Raw genomic sequence first — 19380 nt, 5'->3', positions numbered from 1 at the left:
TTTCAACAGTAATGCACAAATGGCAAAAATCTAAACAGTACAAAAATTCCAGTGGCACACGCTGTCGTTAAATATGCCACCAAGAAAGGAAAAAGACTGGTAATTAAACCCTGACAGGCCGTTGACTAAGCTACATCTCGACTTCAGAGACGCTAGTGGGGAGGAATACATGGCTTAGATTTGATAAAATATGGGATCTCAGGCTGGGCGTGGTGGCTCACGCCTGTAATCCCAGCACTTTGGGAGGCCAAGGCGGGTGGATCGCTTGAGCTCAGGAGTTCGAGAGCAGCCTGGGCAACATGGCAAACATGTTGTTTTCCATTCCCATTGACCCTTCTCTGTAGGGCCCATTCTCTGATTTTCTCAACATGAAAATCAGTGGCCAGTGAGGCTGGCCATGGTCTTGTCACACCCATGCAACAAGCCCAGCCCTGATGGCCTTCCTCTATCCCTTGTACCTCGCGTGCTCCAACCTACCATTGGGCCTTTGTACAAACTCTTCTCTGCCTGGAATATCACGTATCCTTCAGGGCTCAGTCATCACGTCCCCCAGGGAACCTTCCCTAACTTCACTGACCAGATCAAGCCCTGTGTGATACTCACCACCCCTACAGATTTAACTGGACGTTCATTTTGGATGGTTAGATGAATGTCTATGCTCCCCATCAGACTGTGAGCTCCCTGAGAACAGGAGTTGGCTGTGCCTTTCTCTCCAATGCCTCCCCAGTACCTGTTCCCAGCACAGTAGATGCTTAATACATTAAGTCATATGAATGCATGAATTTTCCCAACCGGACCCTGAGCCTAGGAATAGAAGCAATTTGCTCAAAGCCACACAGCTAATTTGAGGGTCCTCGAATCAGATGTGGCTCCAGCCAAGTCCAGAGGCCAAACCTTAACCCACAGCCACAGCCACCCCTTCCTCCCCAGGCTGAGTCACTCACCCTCTTCTCGTGGTTGGGGACAATGCAGCGGACAAAACTGGGGTTGGTGTTGCTGAGTGTGGCCATGAGGCGGCTCAGGGACTCCTTGTAGAGCTGTCCCACTGTCCGGAACATACCCCGACGGGGGCGGCCACCTGGTGGGCCGTCGCCCAGGCTGCTCACCTGTTCCAGCCCCACGATGCCCTCCACTGTCAGATGGAGATGCAGAGAGAGAGAGAAGGAGGTCAGGGTCAGTTTTAGGGACCTGGGCCAAAGGTCAAGGGTCTTATCATTTATCACAACTGGCACTTTACATATGAAGGACCTCACACAGCCTGTAAGGTAGATATCAGCTTCATTGGACAGATGGACATACTGAGGCTCTGAAGAGTGGGAGAATGTGCTTAAGGTCACACAGCTTAGAAACTGAAGATCCGAGATTAGAACTCAGACAGTAGGAGTCCTCTCAAACTCTGGTCTTTGACCCTTCTTCTCTTCAAGGACATGATCTCTGTTTTCCTTATCAATAAATGATGACAATAACAGCAAATGCTTACCTAGCATAGATACTCTGGCAGGCATTGCTCAAAGCAATTTACATCAATGGCTTTATAAGCCTGTAAGAATCATTCCCATTTTACAGATTTGGAAACTGAGGCATAGAGAGAGAAAACAGTGATAACATAACCACTGCAGTTGCATTTTAGGAATCTGAAACATATTAAAAGATGTAATAAATTCTTGCATTATATGCAATATTTGAAATAGGGCAAACTGTCTCTATTTTAACCATTTTTCCAGAAGAGCCTAATTTCATAGAGGTTCTATTTTCTTGGCAGGGTGCGGTGGCTCATGCCTGTAATCTCAGCACTTTGGGAGGCCAAGGCGGGTGGATCACCTAAGGTCAGGAGTTCGAGGCCAGCCTGGCCAACATGGTGAAACCCCATCTCTACTAAAAATACAAAAAATTAAGCCAGGTGTGGTGGCACATGCCTGTAATCCCAGCTACTTGGAAGGCTGAGGCAGGAGAATTACTTGAACCTGGGAGGCAGAGGTTGCCGTGAGCCAAGATTGTGTCACTGCACTCCAGCCTGAGCAACAGAGCTAGACTCTGTCTCAACAAAAAGATTCTATTTTCTCTAGTGCCGCTTGGCGGTGCTGCTTTGGGTAGTGAAAAATATCCATTCCTTCTATTGGCACTGTCTCGAATTCTGTTGTTTGTTTGTTTTCTGAGACACAGTCTCACTGTCACCCAGGCTGGAGTACAGTGGAGTGATCACAGCTCACTGCAGCCTCAACCTCCTAGGCTCAAGTGATCTTCCTACCTCAGCCTCCCAAGTAGTTTGGACTACAGGCGCACACCACCATGCCCACCAATTTTTAAATTTATTTTGTAGAGACGGGGTCTTCCTGTGTTGCTCAGGCTAATCTCAAACTCTTGTCCTCAAGTGATCCTCTCACCTCGGCCTCCCAAAGCGCTGGGATTATAGGGGTGAGCCAATGCACCTGGTCCCAAATTCTATGTGTTGAATCATGCCAGGTTCCTCAGGAACCCACAGCTAGGGCAGAATCTGATGTCCTGCAAAACTCATCCCATTCAAGCGCCATCAACCGTCAACTAGATAATCTGTGCTTAGGGCAGGGCCAGGTCATGGCAGGGGCTCAAATATGTTATTTTCTTCCCCAGGTTCAACCGTCTCCCCTACCCCGTACTCCCTGTCATTTTCAAAATGATAATTATCATTTATTAAGTCCTCATAGCACAGATAAGAACTAAAGTTCTGGAATCTGATGTCCTGGGTTCAAATCCCAGCTCTGCCACTTACTGGCTGTGTGACCTCAGCAAGTTACTTAACTTCTCTGTGCTTTAGTTTCCTCATTTGTGTAATGGGGTGTTGATAATTCTAAAGGGGTTTCACATGGTGAACGGCACATAGTAAGTGCTCAAGAAACGCGAGCTGGTACTATCACGCTTGTTTGTACTTTTACATGCAGTTTAGTTAGAAGAAGGGGTTCTGCTGCTACAGAGTCTGGAAACTTCCAAGGGAGCCAACAAGGAGGGAAAGGAAGAGTGAGAGACCTCCACAGTAAGAGGAGAGGGGACAGATGTTCAAAACCAGGTCCCCAGCCCAACAGGTCCACCCTCCTCCTCCAGCAAGCCTCACCCATCGATGCACAGAGACACCCACCCCCTGGCGGAGAAATAGCAGAGCTGCACCTCTCTGCAGATCCTGGGGGCGACGGTGGGAAGGAGCCAAGGAAAGAGAACTGCTGGAAGCCCCCATGTTCTGGGGAGTGAGGACAGATGTGTGGGTGGGTGGAGGGGAGATGGCAGAGAGATGGCGGAGAGAGATGCATGAAAAGAGGGGAAGGAGAGGAGGTGGCAGGAAGAAAAAGAGGAGAGGGTTATTAGTCAACAGTACAGAGCAAAGCAAGATGGAAAACCAGAATGTTGGCCATAAACTTCTGAACTCCTGTTCATCTTTGTATCCACACACTGTTGGCCAAAAGGACGAATGTCCTCTGTAAGAATTCAGTGCAAAGAATAAAAAATCTCTCCCTCTAGAGGTTGTGTCTGTTTTAGTAGGTTGCCCTTTTTGCTCTGGCTGCCAGGAAGCTCAAGAATGAACTTGATGCTCCCAGGCCACTTGTTGTTTTTGCCTCTCAGAGGAGAGCTAATCTCATTTCCGTTTTTCCCTGGGCTGTCAGGATGCTGGGCATCCAATTCTGGGCTCAAAGCAGCTCTAGCAGAGATTGGGCAAAAATGGCCCCGATTCCCCACTTTCCCCTGTATTGACACCCTTTGCCTGTGTCTTGCAGCTCCTTGAATCTGGGAAGACCTTGTGACTAGCTTTGTTTAGGAGGATTATGGAGGAAGTGACATTATGGCAGCTCCCCAGCTACTCGGGAGGCTGAGCCAGGAGGTTTTGCAGCTTCCACTTTTTCTTTTGGAACCCTCTGAGAGTCAGGCACACACAGAGTGTGACAAATGAGGGCTCACTGTGGAGAATCATGTGTTTATGAAGACAGCACAAATATTTTAAAAGGGCAGCAGATTTTCAGCCGGGAGATGATTCTCGTAGCATAATCTGGTTCTGTTCCTGAACATCAAACTCTGCTTTCCAATCTCCTTGTGTAAATACTATATGAGACATAAAAATAAAATCTATCTTTCTAGCATGAGCTCACAAGATCAAGACCCTCCATGCTGTTTTGCTCTGTGAGTGTGTTTTGGGAACCACTCACCTTGCTCATTTTGTTTTCTTTTTTTTTCCTTTTTTTTTTTTTTTGAGACAGAGTTTCACTCTTGTTGCCCAGGCTGGAGTGCAATGGCACGATCTCGGCTCACCACAACCTCCACCTCCCGGGTTCAAGCGATTCCCCTGCCTCAGCCCCCCGAGTAGCTGGGATTACAGGCATGTGCCACCACGCCCAGCTAATTTTGTATTTTTAGTAGAGATGAGGTTTCTCCATGTTGGTCAGGCTGGTCTCAAACTCCCGACCTCAGGTGACCCGTCCACCTTGGCCTCCCAAAGTGCTGGGATTACAGGCGTGAGCCACCGCGCCTGGCCGCTCATTTTGTTTTCTTGCCAAATTGCATGGACTGGTATTTCTACAGCTACCTTTTCATGTCAATAAAAGATTAAGGCAAACTGACAAATGCCAGAAACTTGGAACCTGGAAAAAACAGGATGCCAGTTCTGCCAGCTTTCTAAAACCATTTCTCAAACCTCCTCTAAGGATGGGGGGGCAGGGGCAGTGGCAGAAAAGGCTTGGAAAAGGTCAGAGTCCTACCACAGGGCATTTGGCATCTCTGCCTATGACCCCTAGAAGTGTCAATCCAAAAAGACAGTCACACTCATGGGGGCCTTTTGGGGGCAGGAAAGCCCTCCAAAACTGTATCTCAGTCTGTTTTTTCTTTCTTCTTCCCTGGGGGCGTGAAGGGAACTTTGTAAGAAAACAAAGAAAGCAAAGCCTAAAAGTTGACTGACCTGCAAAAGATCATCATTCTGTGTTCTCTTATTGTTATAAATTATTTCTCAGTAGAATTTTTTTTTTTTTTTTGGGACAGAGTCTCACACTGTCACCCAGGCTGGATTGCAGTGACACAATCTTGGCTCACTGAAACCTCTACCTCCCAGATTCAAGCGATTCTCCTGCCTCAGCCTCCCTAGTAGCTGAGACTACAGGCATGCACCAGGACATCTGGCTAATTGTTGTACTTTTAGTAGAGACAGGGTTTCACCATGTTGGCCAGGCTGGTCTTGAACTCCTGACCTCAAGTGATCCGCCCACCTTGGCCTCCCAAAAGTGCTGGGATTACAGGTGTGAGCCACCATGCCCAGCCAAATCTCCTAATTGTTTAGGGAACACAGGCCATCTAAAAATAATAAGTTTACTTCTTCCTGTTCGATATTCATACTTTTTCTGGTCTGATTGCATAGGCTAGTATTGCTAAAAAAACGATGTTTAACAGTAGTGTTAGTGGGTATCTTTGCCACGTTTCTGATTAAGGCGGAGTGCTTTATCCTTGAGAAGGATGCTGGCTTATCAATCAAATCAATAGTCAATCAATTAATCTATGGATCCATCCATCACTGATTTGAAATACTATTTGTGACACTGGCTATTCTGGGTCTGAGCAGAAAACTCAGGTTCAGACCTCCGCCTCTGAAACAAAGGTGCTCACGCTGTGGATTTGGAGAATGGCCGCACAGACCCCTAGAGCCGGGGTGGGGGAAGTGGGTCCTCACCGTCTTTCCAGATCTCTGCCGTCAGCCGGTCTGTGCTCTGGTGGAGCAAGGCTGCGACGTTGTCATTCAGAGGGTCCATGTTTTTCATCAGCCACTCGTTGGCCTTGTAGTCGACCTGAATGAAGTCAGGTAGAGGAGGGCGATGACTTGCAGGCTCAGACATTCTCTGGATTTCCTAAGGAGCCTTCCAGAAGCTCTGAGACTCCCAGGTCTGGAGCTCACCATGGACAAGCGAGCACTGGTGCCACCTTGTGTCCATATTCTGAACTGCACCCCACCAGCATGGTCCCCTCTCTCTCCTTCCCCTCTATGCCCCCTGCCACCTCTGTGACCTCCACCACCACCACTTTCTTCCTATTCATTCCGCTCCAGCCACCCTGGCCTCCGCACTGTTCCTCAAACATGCGAGCTTACTCCCACCTCGGGGTTTTACCCCTGCGGTTCCTGCCACCTGGGGTTCTGTCTCTGTGGGTTTCACACCACTGGCTCCTTCTGGGTACTCAGGGCTTTGCTGTGGGGCTCCATAGAGTCACGATCTTGGCCGCTACAATTCTCTGCATATGTGCCCCCCACCAGACAGCGGTCCCCCGAGGGCAGGGCCCAGGTCTGACTCACGGCCTAGCAGAGGGCTGGGTACAGGGGGAGTTCTGGAGTATGTCTGGGGAAGAAACTGAGGGCTAGACACAGAACACATGGAATCTCCTGCCTCCCAGCCATTGTCTATGCTGTTCCCTCTGCCTGGAGAGCCCTTCCCACCCTTCACCCATCCTCTGGGGCTGCCTGGTCCACATCATCAAAACCAGGGGTCAGCAAACTATGGCTCACAGGCAAAATCCAGCCTGCCACCTCTTTTTGCAAATACTTTCACTGGAATAGGGCTGGGCGCGGTGGCTCACACCTGTAATCCCAGCACTTTGGGAGGCCTATGCGGGTGGATCAACTGAGGTCAGGAGTTCGAGAGCAGCCTGGCCAACATGGTGAAACCCTGTCTCTACTAAAAATACAAAAATTAGCCAGGCATGGTGGCAGGTGCCTGTAATCCCAGCTACTGGGGAGGCTGAGGCAGAAGAATTGCTTGAACCTAGGAGGCGGAGATTGCAGTGAGCCGAGATCGTGCCACTGCACTCCAGCCTGGGTAACAGAGGGAGACTCTGTCTCAAATAAAAAAAAATACATATATATATGTGTGTGTGTGTGTGTGTGTGTGTGTGTGTGTGTGTGTGTGTGTGTGTAGTGTGTATATATATATGTGTGTATATATATATGTGTGTATATATATATGTGTATATATATATAGGAATAGAACCTTCATTTATGTCTTCATAGTCAAACTCATGGGGGCCCTTCTGGGGGCAAGAGAGCCCTCGAAACTGTTTCTCAGTCTGTTTTTCCTTTCTTTTTCCCTGGGGGCTTGAAGATACTTATGTATTATCTGTGGCTCTTTTTGTGTGACCACAGCAGAATTGTGTAGCTGTGACAGAGATCGTCTGGCCCACAAAGCTGAAACTATTTACTATCGGACCCTTTACAGAAAATGTTTGCCGGCCCTTGACTGAGATTTGAGATTGAGCATATTCTCTTCTGTGAAGCTTTCCCAGGTACTTCTCTTCTGGGCTCTGACACTACCCTCAGCTGCCTCCACTGAAAGACCTATTAACCTTATATCCTGATCGTCTGTATTTGCCTCCCTCCCAGATAGGGATCTTTGTGAGGACAGAAACCATGTTTGATCTGTGTATCCAGCTTTGCTCGGCCCCGAGCTGGGCACACAAATGGCACCCCGCACATATCTGCTGAATAAGTGGATAAAATGCACATAGATCGCCTCCTGATGAACTCCTACCCATCCCTCAAAACCCACTGCAAATATCACCTCTTTGAGGAAGTTTTTGGTGATCCCATCAGACAGAATCCTTGCTCCTCCCTGGGCTCTCCTAGCCCCTGCTCTGTTTGTCTGGACCTCAGGAGGACCCTGTTTTCCCTCTGCACCCTCCCCCCATCTGTAGCCAGTGGAGATCCCTTGATCCCCACTCCCACATGCCCCAAGGCCGGCCCCAGCCCCTACCTTGCCCGCGTAGTGGAGAACACTGAAGTCGGCCTGATCCCGCAGGTGCCTCGGCCGCTGGAACTTGGGGTGGCCGCCCTGCTCCTGGGCTACCTTCTCCACAAACGACTTGTCTGTGGCCTTCGGGAACCAGCACTCCTCATCCAGCAGGGCCAGGAGTCCAGGGGGGTTGGCCTGGCCATTGACAGCAGGGGGAGAGTAAGTCAGATCCCCACATATTGGACACTCAGGTGGCTGCTGATTTTTAGCTCTTATAAGTCACACTTGGACATAAAAACAAACGTGAGATGCCAGGCACGGTGGCTCACGCCTGTAATCCCAGCACTTTGGGAGGCCGAGGCGGGTAGATCACGAGGTCAGGAGATCGAGACCATCCTGGCTAACACAGTGAAACCCCCGACTCTACTAAAAATACAAAAAATTAGCCGGGCGTGGTGGCGGGCACCTGTAGTCCCAGCTACTCGGGAGGCTGAGGCAGGAGAATGGCGTGAACCCAGGGGGCGAAGCTTGCAGTAAGCAGAGATCGCGCCGCTGCACTCCAGCCTGGGCGATAGAGCGAGACTCCGTCTCAAGAAAAAAACAAAACAAAACAAAACAAACAAACAAAAAACAAACGTGAGAACAACAGTTACGGTGAGAGCTCTGATTAACCGATTGATTTGAGCCGGGCCCTGTGGCAGGCACATTCTGGGCCCTAATCACCTATGGTCACAAAAGATCGAGGAAGCAGGTGCTGTCACCTTCCCCACAGAACCCATGGGGCATCCTGAGGCCCAGCAGAGGAGGAGCTAGACCCTGGTCTCGCAGATGCTGGGAGAGACGGATCTGAACCGTGAGTGTGGGCTGGGAGGGGCCTGGGGCTCACCGGCCGCTCGATGAGGTCGATGCAGGGCTGCAGGTCGAGGCCAAAGTCGAGGAAGGTCCAGGGGATGCCCTCACGCTGGTACTCCTCCTGCTCCAGCACGAACATGGTGTGGTTGAAGAGCTGCTGCAGCTTCTCGTTGGTGTAGTTGATGCAGAGCTGCTCGAAGGAGTTCAGCTGCAGGGACGCAGGACACGTGAGCTGGGAGGATGGAGAGGGACAGAGACCCAGAGACAGGGGACAGAGACCCAGAGACAGGGGACAGAGATGCATCGAGAGGGGACAGAGACCCAGAGAGAGGGGGACAGAGACCCAGAGAGAGGGGGACAGAGACCCAGAGACAGGGGACAGAGCCAGAGACAGGGGACAGAGACCCAGAGACAGAGAGGCAGAGACCCAGAGACAGGGGACAGAGATGCAGAGAGAGAGGACAGAGACCCAGAGAGAGAGGGGGACAGAGACCCAGAGACAGGGGACAGAGACCCAGAGAGAGAAGGGGACAGAGACCCAGAGACAGGGGACAGAGACCCAGAGAGAGGGGGACAGAGACCAGAGAGAGGGGGGAACAGAGACTCAGAGAGAGAGAGGGGGACAGAGACCAGGGAGAAGGGGAGAGACCCAGGGCTTCAGAAAGGACCAGGACCGGAGTGAGGAAGTTGGCATCCCCCTCCCAGCACAAGGGTGGACCTGGAAGATCTCAAAGCCCGCGATGTCCAGGATGCCCAGGAAGGAGGCGCCTTGGCGGGGGCTGCGGTCCAAGGCCCGGTTGAGGCGCAGAACCAGCCAGCGGAAGAGGCGCTCGTAGGTGGCCTTGGCCAGGGCCTCCAGCGCGAAGTCAGCCTGTGGGACAGGGCTCATGGTAAGGGCGCAGCCTGCACATCAGCAGACTGAAAGACGTCGGGGGTGAACCGGGGAAGGGCCCCCAGCTCGTCCCCCTTAAGGTCGCCTCCCAGCTCCTTGAGTGTAAGTACCATCAAGAACAATGCCATGAACAACAGGCAGACATTCCTGAAGTCCTACTGCGCACCAGGTACTACATGACGGGCTCGGATGTGTTAGCCCTTGAATCCTTCCCTCACCCCCTCAAAGCAGTTTCTACCGCACAGCGGTTAAGAGCGTGGACTCTGGAGCCGGACAACTTGGGTTTGAATCCCAGCTCTGCCACTTAGGGGCTGTGTGATTTCAGGCATGTGAATAAACCTCTCTGTGCCTCAGTTTTCTCCTCTGTAAAATGGGAACTAACAACAGTACCCCAGCTGAGATTGAACCCGGGTCAGTGTGGCTCCCAGACTCCTCATCTCCCCCACGGGGTCTTCATCCAGGTACCTCACTGCCCAGCCTGGGGCCAGCAGAGGCCTCTGCCCAAAAGCTGGATTCTGAAACCCTCCCTGGCCTGTGGTCGCTCCACTCCACCCTCCCTGCTCATGGTGTGAGCTCCCACGATTGCCAAGACTCTGGATGCAGCCTCCTTAGGTCTCCCCGCCTCTACCTGCATCCCTGAACCCAATTCTCCATGCAGCAGCCAAGGGGATCTTTCTATGAAAGACAAACTGAATCAAGTCACTCCCTGGCTTAAAACCTCAATGGCCTCCTATGTAGTTTGAATAAAACTCACCTCCTTACTGTGGCCCCTAAGACCCTGCATGATCTGCCCCTTGCTGACATTTCTGACTGTGGATTCACCCACCCTCTCTCCCTTGCTCTTCAGCCTCACTGACCTGACCTCCTTCAATTTTCTTTTTTTCTTTTCTTTTTTTTTTTTTTTTTGAGACAGAGTCTCGCTCTGTCACCCAGGCTGAAGTGCAGTGGCGTGCTCTCAGCTCACTGCAACCTCTGCCTCCTAGGTTCAAGTGATCCTCGTGTCTCAGCCTCCCAAGTAGCTGGGACTACAGGCGTGTGCCACATACCCAGCTAATTTTTGTATTTTAGTAGAGACGGAGATTCACCATGTTGCCCAGGCTGATCTTGAACTCCTGAGCTCAATCTGTCCGCCTCAGCCTCCCAAAGAGCTGGGATTACAGGCATGAGCCCCCACACCCGGCCTCACTGACCTGCTTAATGTTCCCAACTCCCCAAGCCTGCTCCACCCCCAGGGCCTTTACACTTGCGGTTCCGTCTGCCTCGAACCATCTAGGTCTCATCTCGAATGTTTCATCCTTAGAGCTTCCTTAGAGAGGACTTTCCTGACCAACAAAACCTCCCCTTCACAGGTGCTCTCACCATCTAAAAGCATCCTGGGTTTTTGTTTTTTGTTTTTCTAGGATACCATGTTGCATTTACATCCTGTTTTTTTAAATTATTATTAAATTTTTTAATTTTTTTAGAGACAGAGTCTCAGTCTGTCACCCAGGCTGGAGTGCAGTGGCGCAATTACAGCTCGCTGCAGCCTCAAACTCCCGGGCTCAAGCAATCCTCCCACCTTGGCCTCCCAAAGTGCTGGGATTACAGGTGTGAGCCACCACTCCCAGACACATCCTGTTGAACTTTTATTATCCATTTCCTTACTATAACTTGAGGTCCCTGAGGGCCTGGTTATTTGTTTCGATGACTGCTTTTACGCCTGGCACCTAGACCAGGATCGGTAACGGAGCGGGCACTCAGCAAAAGTCTGTTGAGTGGTGGGAAAAACAGCATACACTGTTTAAAGACCCAGGGCCGGGGTGCGCGGCTCTTTCTGTGCCTGCCCACCGCCAGCCCCGCCTACCTGTTCCTTAGTCTGGGCTTTCTGCACATAGTCTCGGCCAACTTTGATGCGAGGGGTGAGCAAGGCTCGGGAGAAATCCGTCACCCCCAGTCCCAAGAGGCGGCAGAGCTTCTGTGCAGCTGAGGGCGAGAGGCACCAAGATTCCATCAGCACTGGGAAGAGGTGCTTGCTGCCCAGCAAGGGAGAGGGTACCGTTTCCCACACTGTTGGGGGAGCAGAAGACGGGCCCCGCCTTTCCCAGGAGAGGCATTACGAGTCCCAAAAGTGTGTACATTCTCTGCCCAACTATTTTTTTTCCAGGAACCAGCACTGGCAAAATAACCCTGCATGTGAGCAAAGACCGTGCCACAAGGATGTTCAGCGCAGTGTTGTTTATAATCGGAGAAAGCTAGGAAACAACCTCAGTGCCCAAGAAGCGGGAATTGGTTAGATGGGTCGGGCTTCATTCATTTGAAAGAATGTTCTGATGGTTTTTTTGTTTGTTTTGTTTTGTTTTGTTTGAGACAGAGTTTGGCTCTTATCACCCAGACTGGAGTGCAGTGATGCAATCTCAGCTCACTACAACCTCCGCCTCCCTGGTTCAAGTGATTCTCCTGCCTCAGCTCCTGAGTAGCTGGGATTACAGGTGCCTGGCCCATTTGAAAGAATGTTCTGCAGTCACTAAAAGCTACACTGGAGGCGGGGCACGGTGGCTCACGCCCGTAATCCCAGGGAGGCCCTTCGGGAGGCCAAGGTGGGCGGATCACCTGAGGTCAGGAGTTTGAGACCAACCTGGCCAACATGGTGAAACCCCGTCTGTACTAAAAATACAAAAATTAGCCCGACATGGTGGTGCGTGCCTGTAATCCCAGATACTTGGGAGGCTGAGGCAGGGAGAATCGCTTGAACCCAGGAGGTAGAGGTTGCAGTGAGCTGAGATGGTGCCACTGCACTCCAGTCTGGGCGAGACTTCATTTAAAAGAGGAAAGATGGAAGGAAGGAAGGAAGGAGGGAAGGAAGGAAGGAAGGAAGAAAGGAAGGGAGGGAGGGAGGGAGGGGGGGAATCCCAGTAGAGTTCTATCTAAAAGAAGGAAGGAGGGAGGGCAGGAGGAAGGGAGGGAGGGAGCGAGGGAATCCCAGTACAGTTCTATCTAAAAGAAGGAAGGAAGGAGGGAGGGAAGGAGGGAGGGAGGGAGGGAGGGAGGGAGGGAAGGGATCCCAGTAGAGTTTCTTGTGAATAACCTGAAAAGTTATCCCGAAAGCATTCAGGGGAAAAAAAAGCAGGTTTCAAAACAGTTTGCAGGGTCTGACTCCAGTTTTGTAAAACAAATGAGTAAATGTGTGTGCACGGCACACCTGCTGGGTGCCTATGTACAGAGCCCCCAGGTGCCTCAGGTAATGCTGTTACCAGCAGCATAGTGGGGTAATACATCCTGTCCTCCTATTTTCTGTGCTGTGCAGCTTTCAGAAATGAGCCCATCGGATTTCATAATCAGGACAGAAAGCTCTTGCTGTCTCCAGGGGAAGAGGGGGTGAAGCACGATTCCATTTCTGTGACACTCTATATCCACAGTGATACAGACACAGAACAAAGCCCAGAGAGACACATCCCAAAATGTGAGCAGCAATTATCTCTGGGAATATGATTATGGGTAATTGTCTTTCTTTTTCTTTTTCTTTCTTTCTTCTTCTTTTTCTTTCTTTCTTCTTCTTTTTTTTTTTTGGAGACAGATTCTTGCTCCGTTGCCCAGGCTGGAGTGCAGCGGCACAATCTCGGCTCAACTGCAACCTCCGCCTCCTGGGTTCAAGCAATTCTCCTGCCTCAGCCTCCTGAGCAGCTGGGACTACAGGCACCCATCACCATTCCCAGTTAATTTTTGTATTTTTAGTAGAGAAGAAGTTTTGTCATGTTGGCCAGGCTGGTCTCGAACTCATGGCCTCAAGTGATCTGCCTGCCTTGGCCTCCCAAAGTGCTGGGATTACAGGTGATTATGGGTAATTTTCTCTCTTCCTTTCTACTTTTCTGTCATGCCAGATTTTTCCCCCTTCCAGCTTGTATTATTTTATAATAATAAAGAGACATAGCTATTTCTATTTTGGTTTAAAGTAAGGGATATTGACTATAATTCTGTTCTTGAAAGGCAAAAAGAAGTGTGTCTCTGCAGAGTGCAGAGGCTGGAGAAGCTACGCCAAATGCTAATGGTGGCTCCCTGTGGGGAGAGGGGGTCTGGGAGGATGGGCTCCTGCTGTTCCCCACTGTCGTGCTGGTGCGGTTCACTTTCAGCAGAGCTCACGCTTTTAGAATCAGGAAAAGAGTGGTTGATGTTATTTTGGCAAAGACTCAGCAAAAAGCAGGAAATCGGCCAGGCACGGTGGCTCAGGCCTGTAATCCCAGCACTTTGGGAGGCCGAGGTGGGCAGATCACGAGGTCATGAGATCGAGACCATCCTGGTTAACACGGTGACACTCCGTCTCTACTAAAAATACAAACAATTAGCCGGGCGTGGTGGCGGGCGCCTGTAGTCCCAGCTACTCAGGAGGCTGAGGCAGGAGAATGGTGTGAACCCGGGAGGCGGAGCTTGCAGTGAGCTGAGATCACGCCACTGCACTCCAGCCTGGGTGACAGAGCGAGACTCCATCTCAAAAAAAAAAAAAAAAAAAAAATGCAGGAAATCAGAGTGATCCTGGGTTGGAGACAGGTGTGGCTGGAAGGGGGATGCTCTCTACGTGGGACAGGGGTGCAGGAGGGCTGGGCACCACCTGGGCGGGGGCTGGAGGTCGTGGGCAGGCAGGCCGGGGGCAGTACCTGTGTTGTCAGGCATGGTGGCTTGATCGGTGTTCCGTTCTCTCTTCAAGGCAATGTTGCCAAACTGGAGAACTGCTGAGACCATCCGCAGCATGGCTGGGGACGCAAGGACAGAGGTCACGTGTGGCTCTGGACCCCGATGTGTGGTCTTAACTGGCCCCTTAAACATGTAACTTAAAAAGCTTAAGGCAAATTATATCACCACCCCTCAGCTTAAAATCTACTTGTGGGATGGGCGTGATAGCTCACACCTGTAATCCCAGCACTCTGGGAGGCCGAGGCGGGAGGATCACTTGAGCCCAGGAGTTTGAGACCAGCCTGAGCAACACAGCAAGACTCCATCTCAAAAAAAAAAAAAAGAATCCATCTTTGACACTGGGCAGGCCTTGAAATATGTGAACAGATCGGTGAATTCCGGTTGAGTTTATTATATCTGAGGCTTGCCCTATCGCTATGATACTTAAACAGTGTCTGCTTACGTTGTGTATTTTGTAAAACAATGCAAGTAGAATTTAAAAGGACTTAGGGAAATGAATGAAGAAGGTCTACAGTGATATGGAAAGACTTCTACCACAATGAGTGAAAAACAGGAGGCAAACAAACAATGCTGTGTGTGGCTTACTGCTATCTATGTGCAAAAGGGAGGAAATATAAAGTATAGTCGATTCTTGTGACTTGCACTGGTCATGTTCTTTCTTAAAAAATTATTTTGAATGGGGTCTTGCTCTGTTGCCCAGGCAGGTATGCAGTGGCACGATCATAGCTCACTGCAGCCTTGACCTCTTGGGCTCAAGTGATCCTCCTGCCTCAGCCCCCAGAGTGGCTGAGACCACGGGTGTGTACCACCACCTCTGGTCACATTTTCACCAACCGATCAATAAGTCACCTTGTTTTTTTTTTTGAGACGGAGTCTCATTCTTGTCACCCAGGCTGGAGTGCAGTGGTGCCATATCGGCTCACTGCAACCTCCACCTCCCAACTTCAAGCGATTCTCCTGCCTCACCCTCCCAAGTAGCTGGGATTACTGGTGCACACCACCACACCCGGCTAATTTTTGTATTTTTAGTAGAGATGGGGTTTCGCCATGTTGGCCAGGCTGGTCTTGAATTCCTGACCTCAGATGATCCACCCGCCTCGGCCTCCCAAAGTGCTGAGATTACAGGTGTGAGCCACTGCACCCAGCCTCGTCACCTTGTTTTATGTGCATTTTGTTTTAGAGACACCTTATTTAATATACTACTGACTCATTCGCACAGAACTCGAGGCCAACAGCACCGTAACTCGCACCTGGAGGAAGCTGATCTCACACACGTATTTTATCATTTCTCCAAAGCCACATGGCAGCCTTCTTGTGTTTGGGGATGCCAGACAGCACATCAGCACTGTGCTCAGGGGACATTTGAGACAGTGCAATCACCAGCAAAAAGTGCAAATTTGTGACTAACATGGCACTATTTAGGAAAGGACACTGTACAGTATGAGAACTGAAACCAGAAGGCAGAACACCACCCCTGTCTGATGTGAGCTGAGTGTGCACTCGGTGACTCAAATTTTCCTCCATTCTACGCAGGACCGTAAATGACCACGAACACACCAGGAGTACTGATTTCATGGTGATGCTATGCACCAATGCAATCCCTCAGCCACATCATCAGCTGTTCATTGTAGAACAGTTTTCACGATTTGTGGATCGAAATTGATATGGTTTGGCTGTGTCCCCAGCCAAATCTCATCTTGAAATTGTAGCTCCCATAATTCCCATGTGTTGTGCGAGGGACCCAGTGGGAGGTAACTGAATCTTGGGGGCTGTTTCCCCCATACTGTTCTCGTGGTAGTGAATAAGTCTCACGAGATCTGAGGTTTTATAAGTGGAAACCCCTTTTGCTTGGCTCTCATTCTGTCTTGCCTGCCACCATGTAAGATGTGCCTTTTGCCTTCTGCCATGATTGTGGAGGCCACCCCAGCCACGTGGAACTGTGAGTCTGTTAAACCTCTTTTACTTTATAAATTACCCAGTCTTGGGTATGTCTTTATCAGCAGCATGACTAATACAGAAATGGACCTTGAATTGGGGGTTACAAATAGATTTGGCGAGTAGGCTGTGCAGAGTTCTAGAAAGTGCATTGGAAGTGGGTAGTGCTGCCCCCTAGAATATGTCTCAGGAACTTGTGGAGGGGTCGGGTGTTTCTGGACGTCACCAGGACTAGGCAGTCCACTTGGATGCGGACGGTTTCTACAGCCCACATGGCTTCTGAAAAATGGCCCCCTGGACATTTGCGTCCATGAAGTCATGGTTTGTAATTATCTGCAACAAATTCCCAACAGTTTTACGTATAAATACAGCAGTGTTTTGTGCTTGGTTTTAATACACAGTGAGGCTTGGTGCGGTGTGGTGGTGGTGGTACGGGCTCACGCCCGTAATCCCAGCACTTTGGGAGGGCAAAGGCGGGAAGATCATTTGAGTCCAGGAGTTTGAGATCAGCTTGGGCAACATAGTGAAAACCTGTCTCTACTAAAAATACAAAAAATTAGGTGGCCATGGTGGTGGATGCCTGTGGTCCCAGCTACTCGGGAGGCTGAGGTAGGAGGATCACCTGAGCCTGGAAAGTCGAGGCTGCAGTGAGCCATGATTGCACCACTGCACTCAAGCCTGGGCAATGAGAGAGAGACCCTGCCTCAAAAAAAAAAAAAATTAATATACAGTGAATTTTCCAGGAGGACAGCCACTGTGTAAATCCCAGAGAAGGCTGTTCTTTGCTTTGCTCAGGACTCAATCAAAATTGATCACCTTTTCAGAACACTCTCCCCTGACAGCAGAGCTGTGTGTGGTGTTTGAGTCAAGGGGACAGCAGGTGAGGCTGTGTTTGTGTTTGCATCTGATGCTTTTTCTTTTTTTTTTCTTTTGAGATAGAGTCTTGCTGTGTCATCAGGCTGGAGTGCAGTGGCACAATCTTGGCTCACTTCAACCTCTGCCTCCTGGGTTCAAGTGATTCTCCCGCCTCAGCCTCCCAAGTAGCTGGGACTACAGGCACATGCCAACACGCCCAGCTAATTTTTGTATTTTTAGTAGAGACGGGGTTTCATCGTGTTGGCCAGGATGGTCTCAATCTCTTGACCTCGTGATCCGCCCGCCTGGGCCTCCTAAAGTGCTGGGATTACAGGCATGAGTCACCAAGCCTGGCTGCATCTGATGCTTTCATGGTGGGGCCATAGGTCAGTGCAACCCCTCAGCCGCCTGGTCAACCATTCATTCTAGAACAGTTTGTACCATTTGTGCACTGAAATGGACCTTGATTTATTTTTCACTTCCTCCATACCACAACCTGTTCCAAACACTTACAAATGACTTCAGGTACCCTTCATAACCACTGAACAAGGCAGGTCCTTCTATGCTTCCCATGTTACAGATAGGGTAACTGAGGCACTCAATCAACTCACCCAAGATCACCCAGCTCACATAGGCTGGCAGAGCTGGGATTCAAACCAGGGCAGTCTGTGGTTGTTTTTTTGGGTTTTTTTGTTTGTTTTTCTGTTTTTATTTTTTTATTTTATTTTATTTTTTTAATAGAGATGAGATCTCATTCTGTTGCCCAGGCTGGTCTCCAACTCCTGGCCTCAAGAAGTCCTCCTCACTTGGCCTCCCAAAGTGTTGGGATTACAGGCATGAGCCACTGTGCCTGGCCTGGGAGGCAGTGCTTTTAATTTCTGTGCTTCCATTTTCCTTTTTCATTTTAGCATAGATTTTTTTTTAAAGAGACAGAGTCTTGCTCTGTTGCCCAGGCTGGAGTGCAGTGGTGTGGTGTGATCATAGCTTACTGCAGCCTCAACTTCCTGGGCTCAAGCGATCCTCTCACCACAGCCTTCTGAGTAGCTGGACTACAGATGCTCACCACCATGCCCAGCTAATTTAAAAAAATGTTTTGTCCAGATGGGATCTTGGCATGTTGCCCAAGTTGGTCTCAAATTCCCCGGCTCAAGCGATTCTCCTAACTCAGCCTCCCAAAGTGCTGGGATTACAGGCATAAGCCACCGTGCCGGCGTAGCATAGGTTTATGAATGTAAATACATATGCGCAGCACACATACAGAAAAGGACACATACTATAGACATCCAGCTCCAGGAACGTTTACAAAGTGAATGTGTCTGTGGAACTGGCCTCTCCAAAGCCCCCTTCCCTCACTGGACATGGATGAATGTCACAAACACACGGCTGAGTGACAGAAGCCAGGTGAGAAACTGCACACCGTGTGATTCTATTTGTACCAAATCCAAGAAGAGGCAACACAACTCCATGCTCTTAGAAGTCGGAATAATGGTTACCTTGAGGGGGTGCTGGTGGTGGGAAGGGACATGGGGGGCTCCTGGGTGCTGGATATACAGGGTGTTCCCTCCCAAAACTCCCCCAGGCTGGATGCCAAGGGCCTGTGCTCCTTTTATTGGTGTGTATACTGTACTTCTACACAAAGGTGGCTTAGAAAAAGGTGTGTGTGGCCGGGCGCGGTGGCTCACGCCTGTAATCCCAGCACTTTGGGAGGCTGAGGCGGGCAGATCACGAGGTCAAGAGATCGAGACCATCCTGGCTAACACAGTGAAACCTTGTCTCTACTAAAAATACAAAAAATTAGCTAGGCGTGGTGGCAGGCACCTGTAGTCCCAGCTACTCTGGAGGCTGAGGCAGGAGAATGGCATGAACCGGGGAGGCGGAGCTTGCAGTGAGCGGAGATCGGGCCACTGCACTCCAACCTGGGTGACAGAGTGAGACACTGTCTCAAAAAAAGAAGAAAAAGAAAAAGGTGTGTGTGAGTGGGGGTGGGAGGTCAGCATTTCTTCTGGAATACTCCCGCCAAAAACGTGTAACTAGAATGTAATTGCAGGGAAACAGACCCAGATACAGATGAAACAACCAGTCTGTAATCTTCCCAAGTGTCAAAACCATGAATGATAAAGAAAGACTCAGGAAGAGTTTCAGACTGAAGGAGAGTAAAGAGATGGATGACCAGGAAAAAAAGAGAGCAAGAGGGCTGGGCACGGTGGCTCACGCCTGTAATCGCAGCACTTCGGGAGGCCGAGGCAGGCGGTTCACCTGAGGTCAGGAGTTCGAGACCAGCCTGACCAACATGGAGAAACCCCGTCTCTGCTAAAAATACAAAATCAGCTGGGTGTGGCGGCGCATGCCTGTAATTCCAGCTACTCAGGAGGCTGAGGCAGGAGAATTGCTTGAATCTGGGGGGCGGAGGTTGCAGTGAGCTGAGATCGCGCCACTGTACTCCAGCCTGGGGGACAGAGT

At 50.2% G+C, this 19380-nt stretch overlaps 1 protein-coding gene across 3 annotated transcripts in view, besides 2 other annotated features; it reads right to left on the bottom strand.

Annotated features, from left to right (window-relative positions):
- MYH14 (myosin heavy chain 14) overlaps window positions 1-19380 on the bottom strand; it is a 106919-nt gene that overhangs the window by 52110 nt on the left and 35429 nt on the right. For 2 of the 3 annotated variants that reach the window (NM_001077186.2, NM_024729.4), the window contains 7 exons: window positions 14094-14189; window positions 11309-11427; window positions 9292-9444; window positions 8608-8781; window positions 7743-7916; window positions 5678-5792; window positions 945-1132 (listed from right to left, as the gene is read on the bottom strand). In NM_001077186.2, coding sequence (NP_001070654.1) covers window positions 945-1132; window positions 5678-5792; window positions 7743-7916; window positions 8608-8781; window positions 9292-9444; window positions 11309-11427; window positions 14094-14189 — 1019 coding nt within the window. Of the gene's footprint in view, window positions 1-944; window positions 1133-3112; window positions 3212-5677; window positions 5793-7742; window positions 7917-8607; window positions 8782-9291; window positions 9445-11308; window positions 11428-14093; window positions 14190-19380 lie in introns of all 3 variants that reach the window. The other variant, NM_001145809.2, reaches the window with a different exon arrangement.
- Window positions 13425-13719: a silencer, noted in NCBI's record as "tiled region #8620; K562 Repressive non-DNase unmatched - State 20:ReprD". NCBI's record gives its function as "represses a minimal TATA promoter and a strong SV40 promoter by Sharpr-MPRA in K562 cells {active_cell/tissue: K562}" and the evidence as "EXISTENCE:reporter gene assay evidence [ECO:0000049][PMID:27701403]".
- Window positions 15700-15789: an enhancer, noted in NCBI's record as "active region_14977". NCBI's record gives its function as "activates an Ori minimal core promoter by ATAC-STARR-seq in GM12878 lymphoblastoid cells {active_cell/tissue: GM12878}" and the evidence as "EXISTENCE:reporter gene assay evidence [ECO:0000049][PMID:35858748]".

Source organism: Homo sapiens, chromosome 19 (genome assembly GCF_000001405.40).
Source record: "Homo sapiens chromosome 19, GRCh38.p14 Primary Assembly".
NCBI classification, from domain to species: domain Eukaryota; kingdom Metazoa; phylum Chordata; class Mammalia; order Primates; family Hominidae; genus Homo; species Homo sapiens.
The sequence above is the reverse complement of the archived record's forward strand: the minus strand, read 5'-3'. Positions and strand labels throughout refer to the sequence as shown.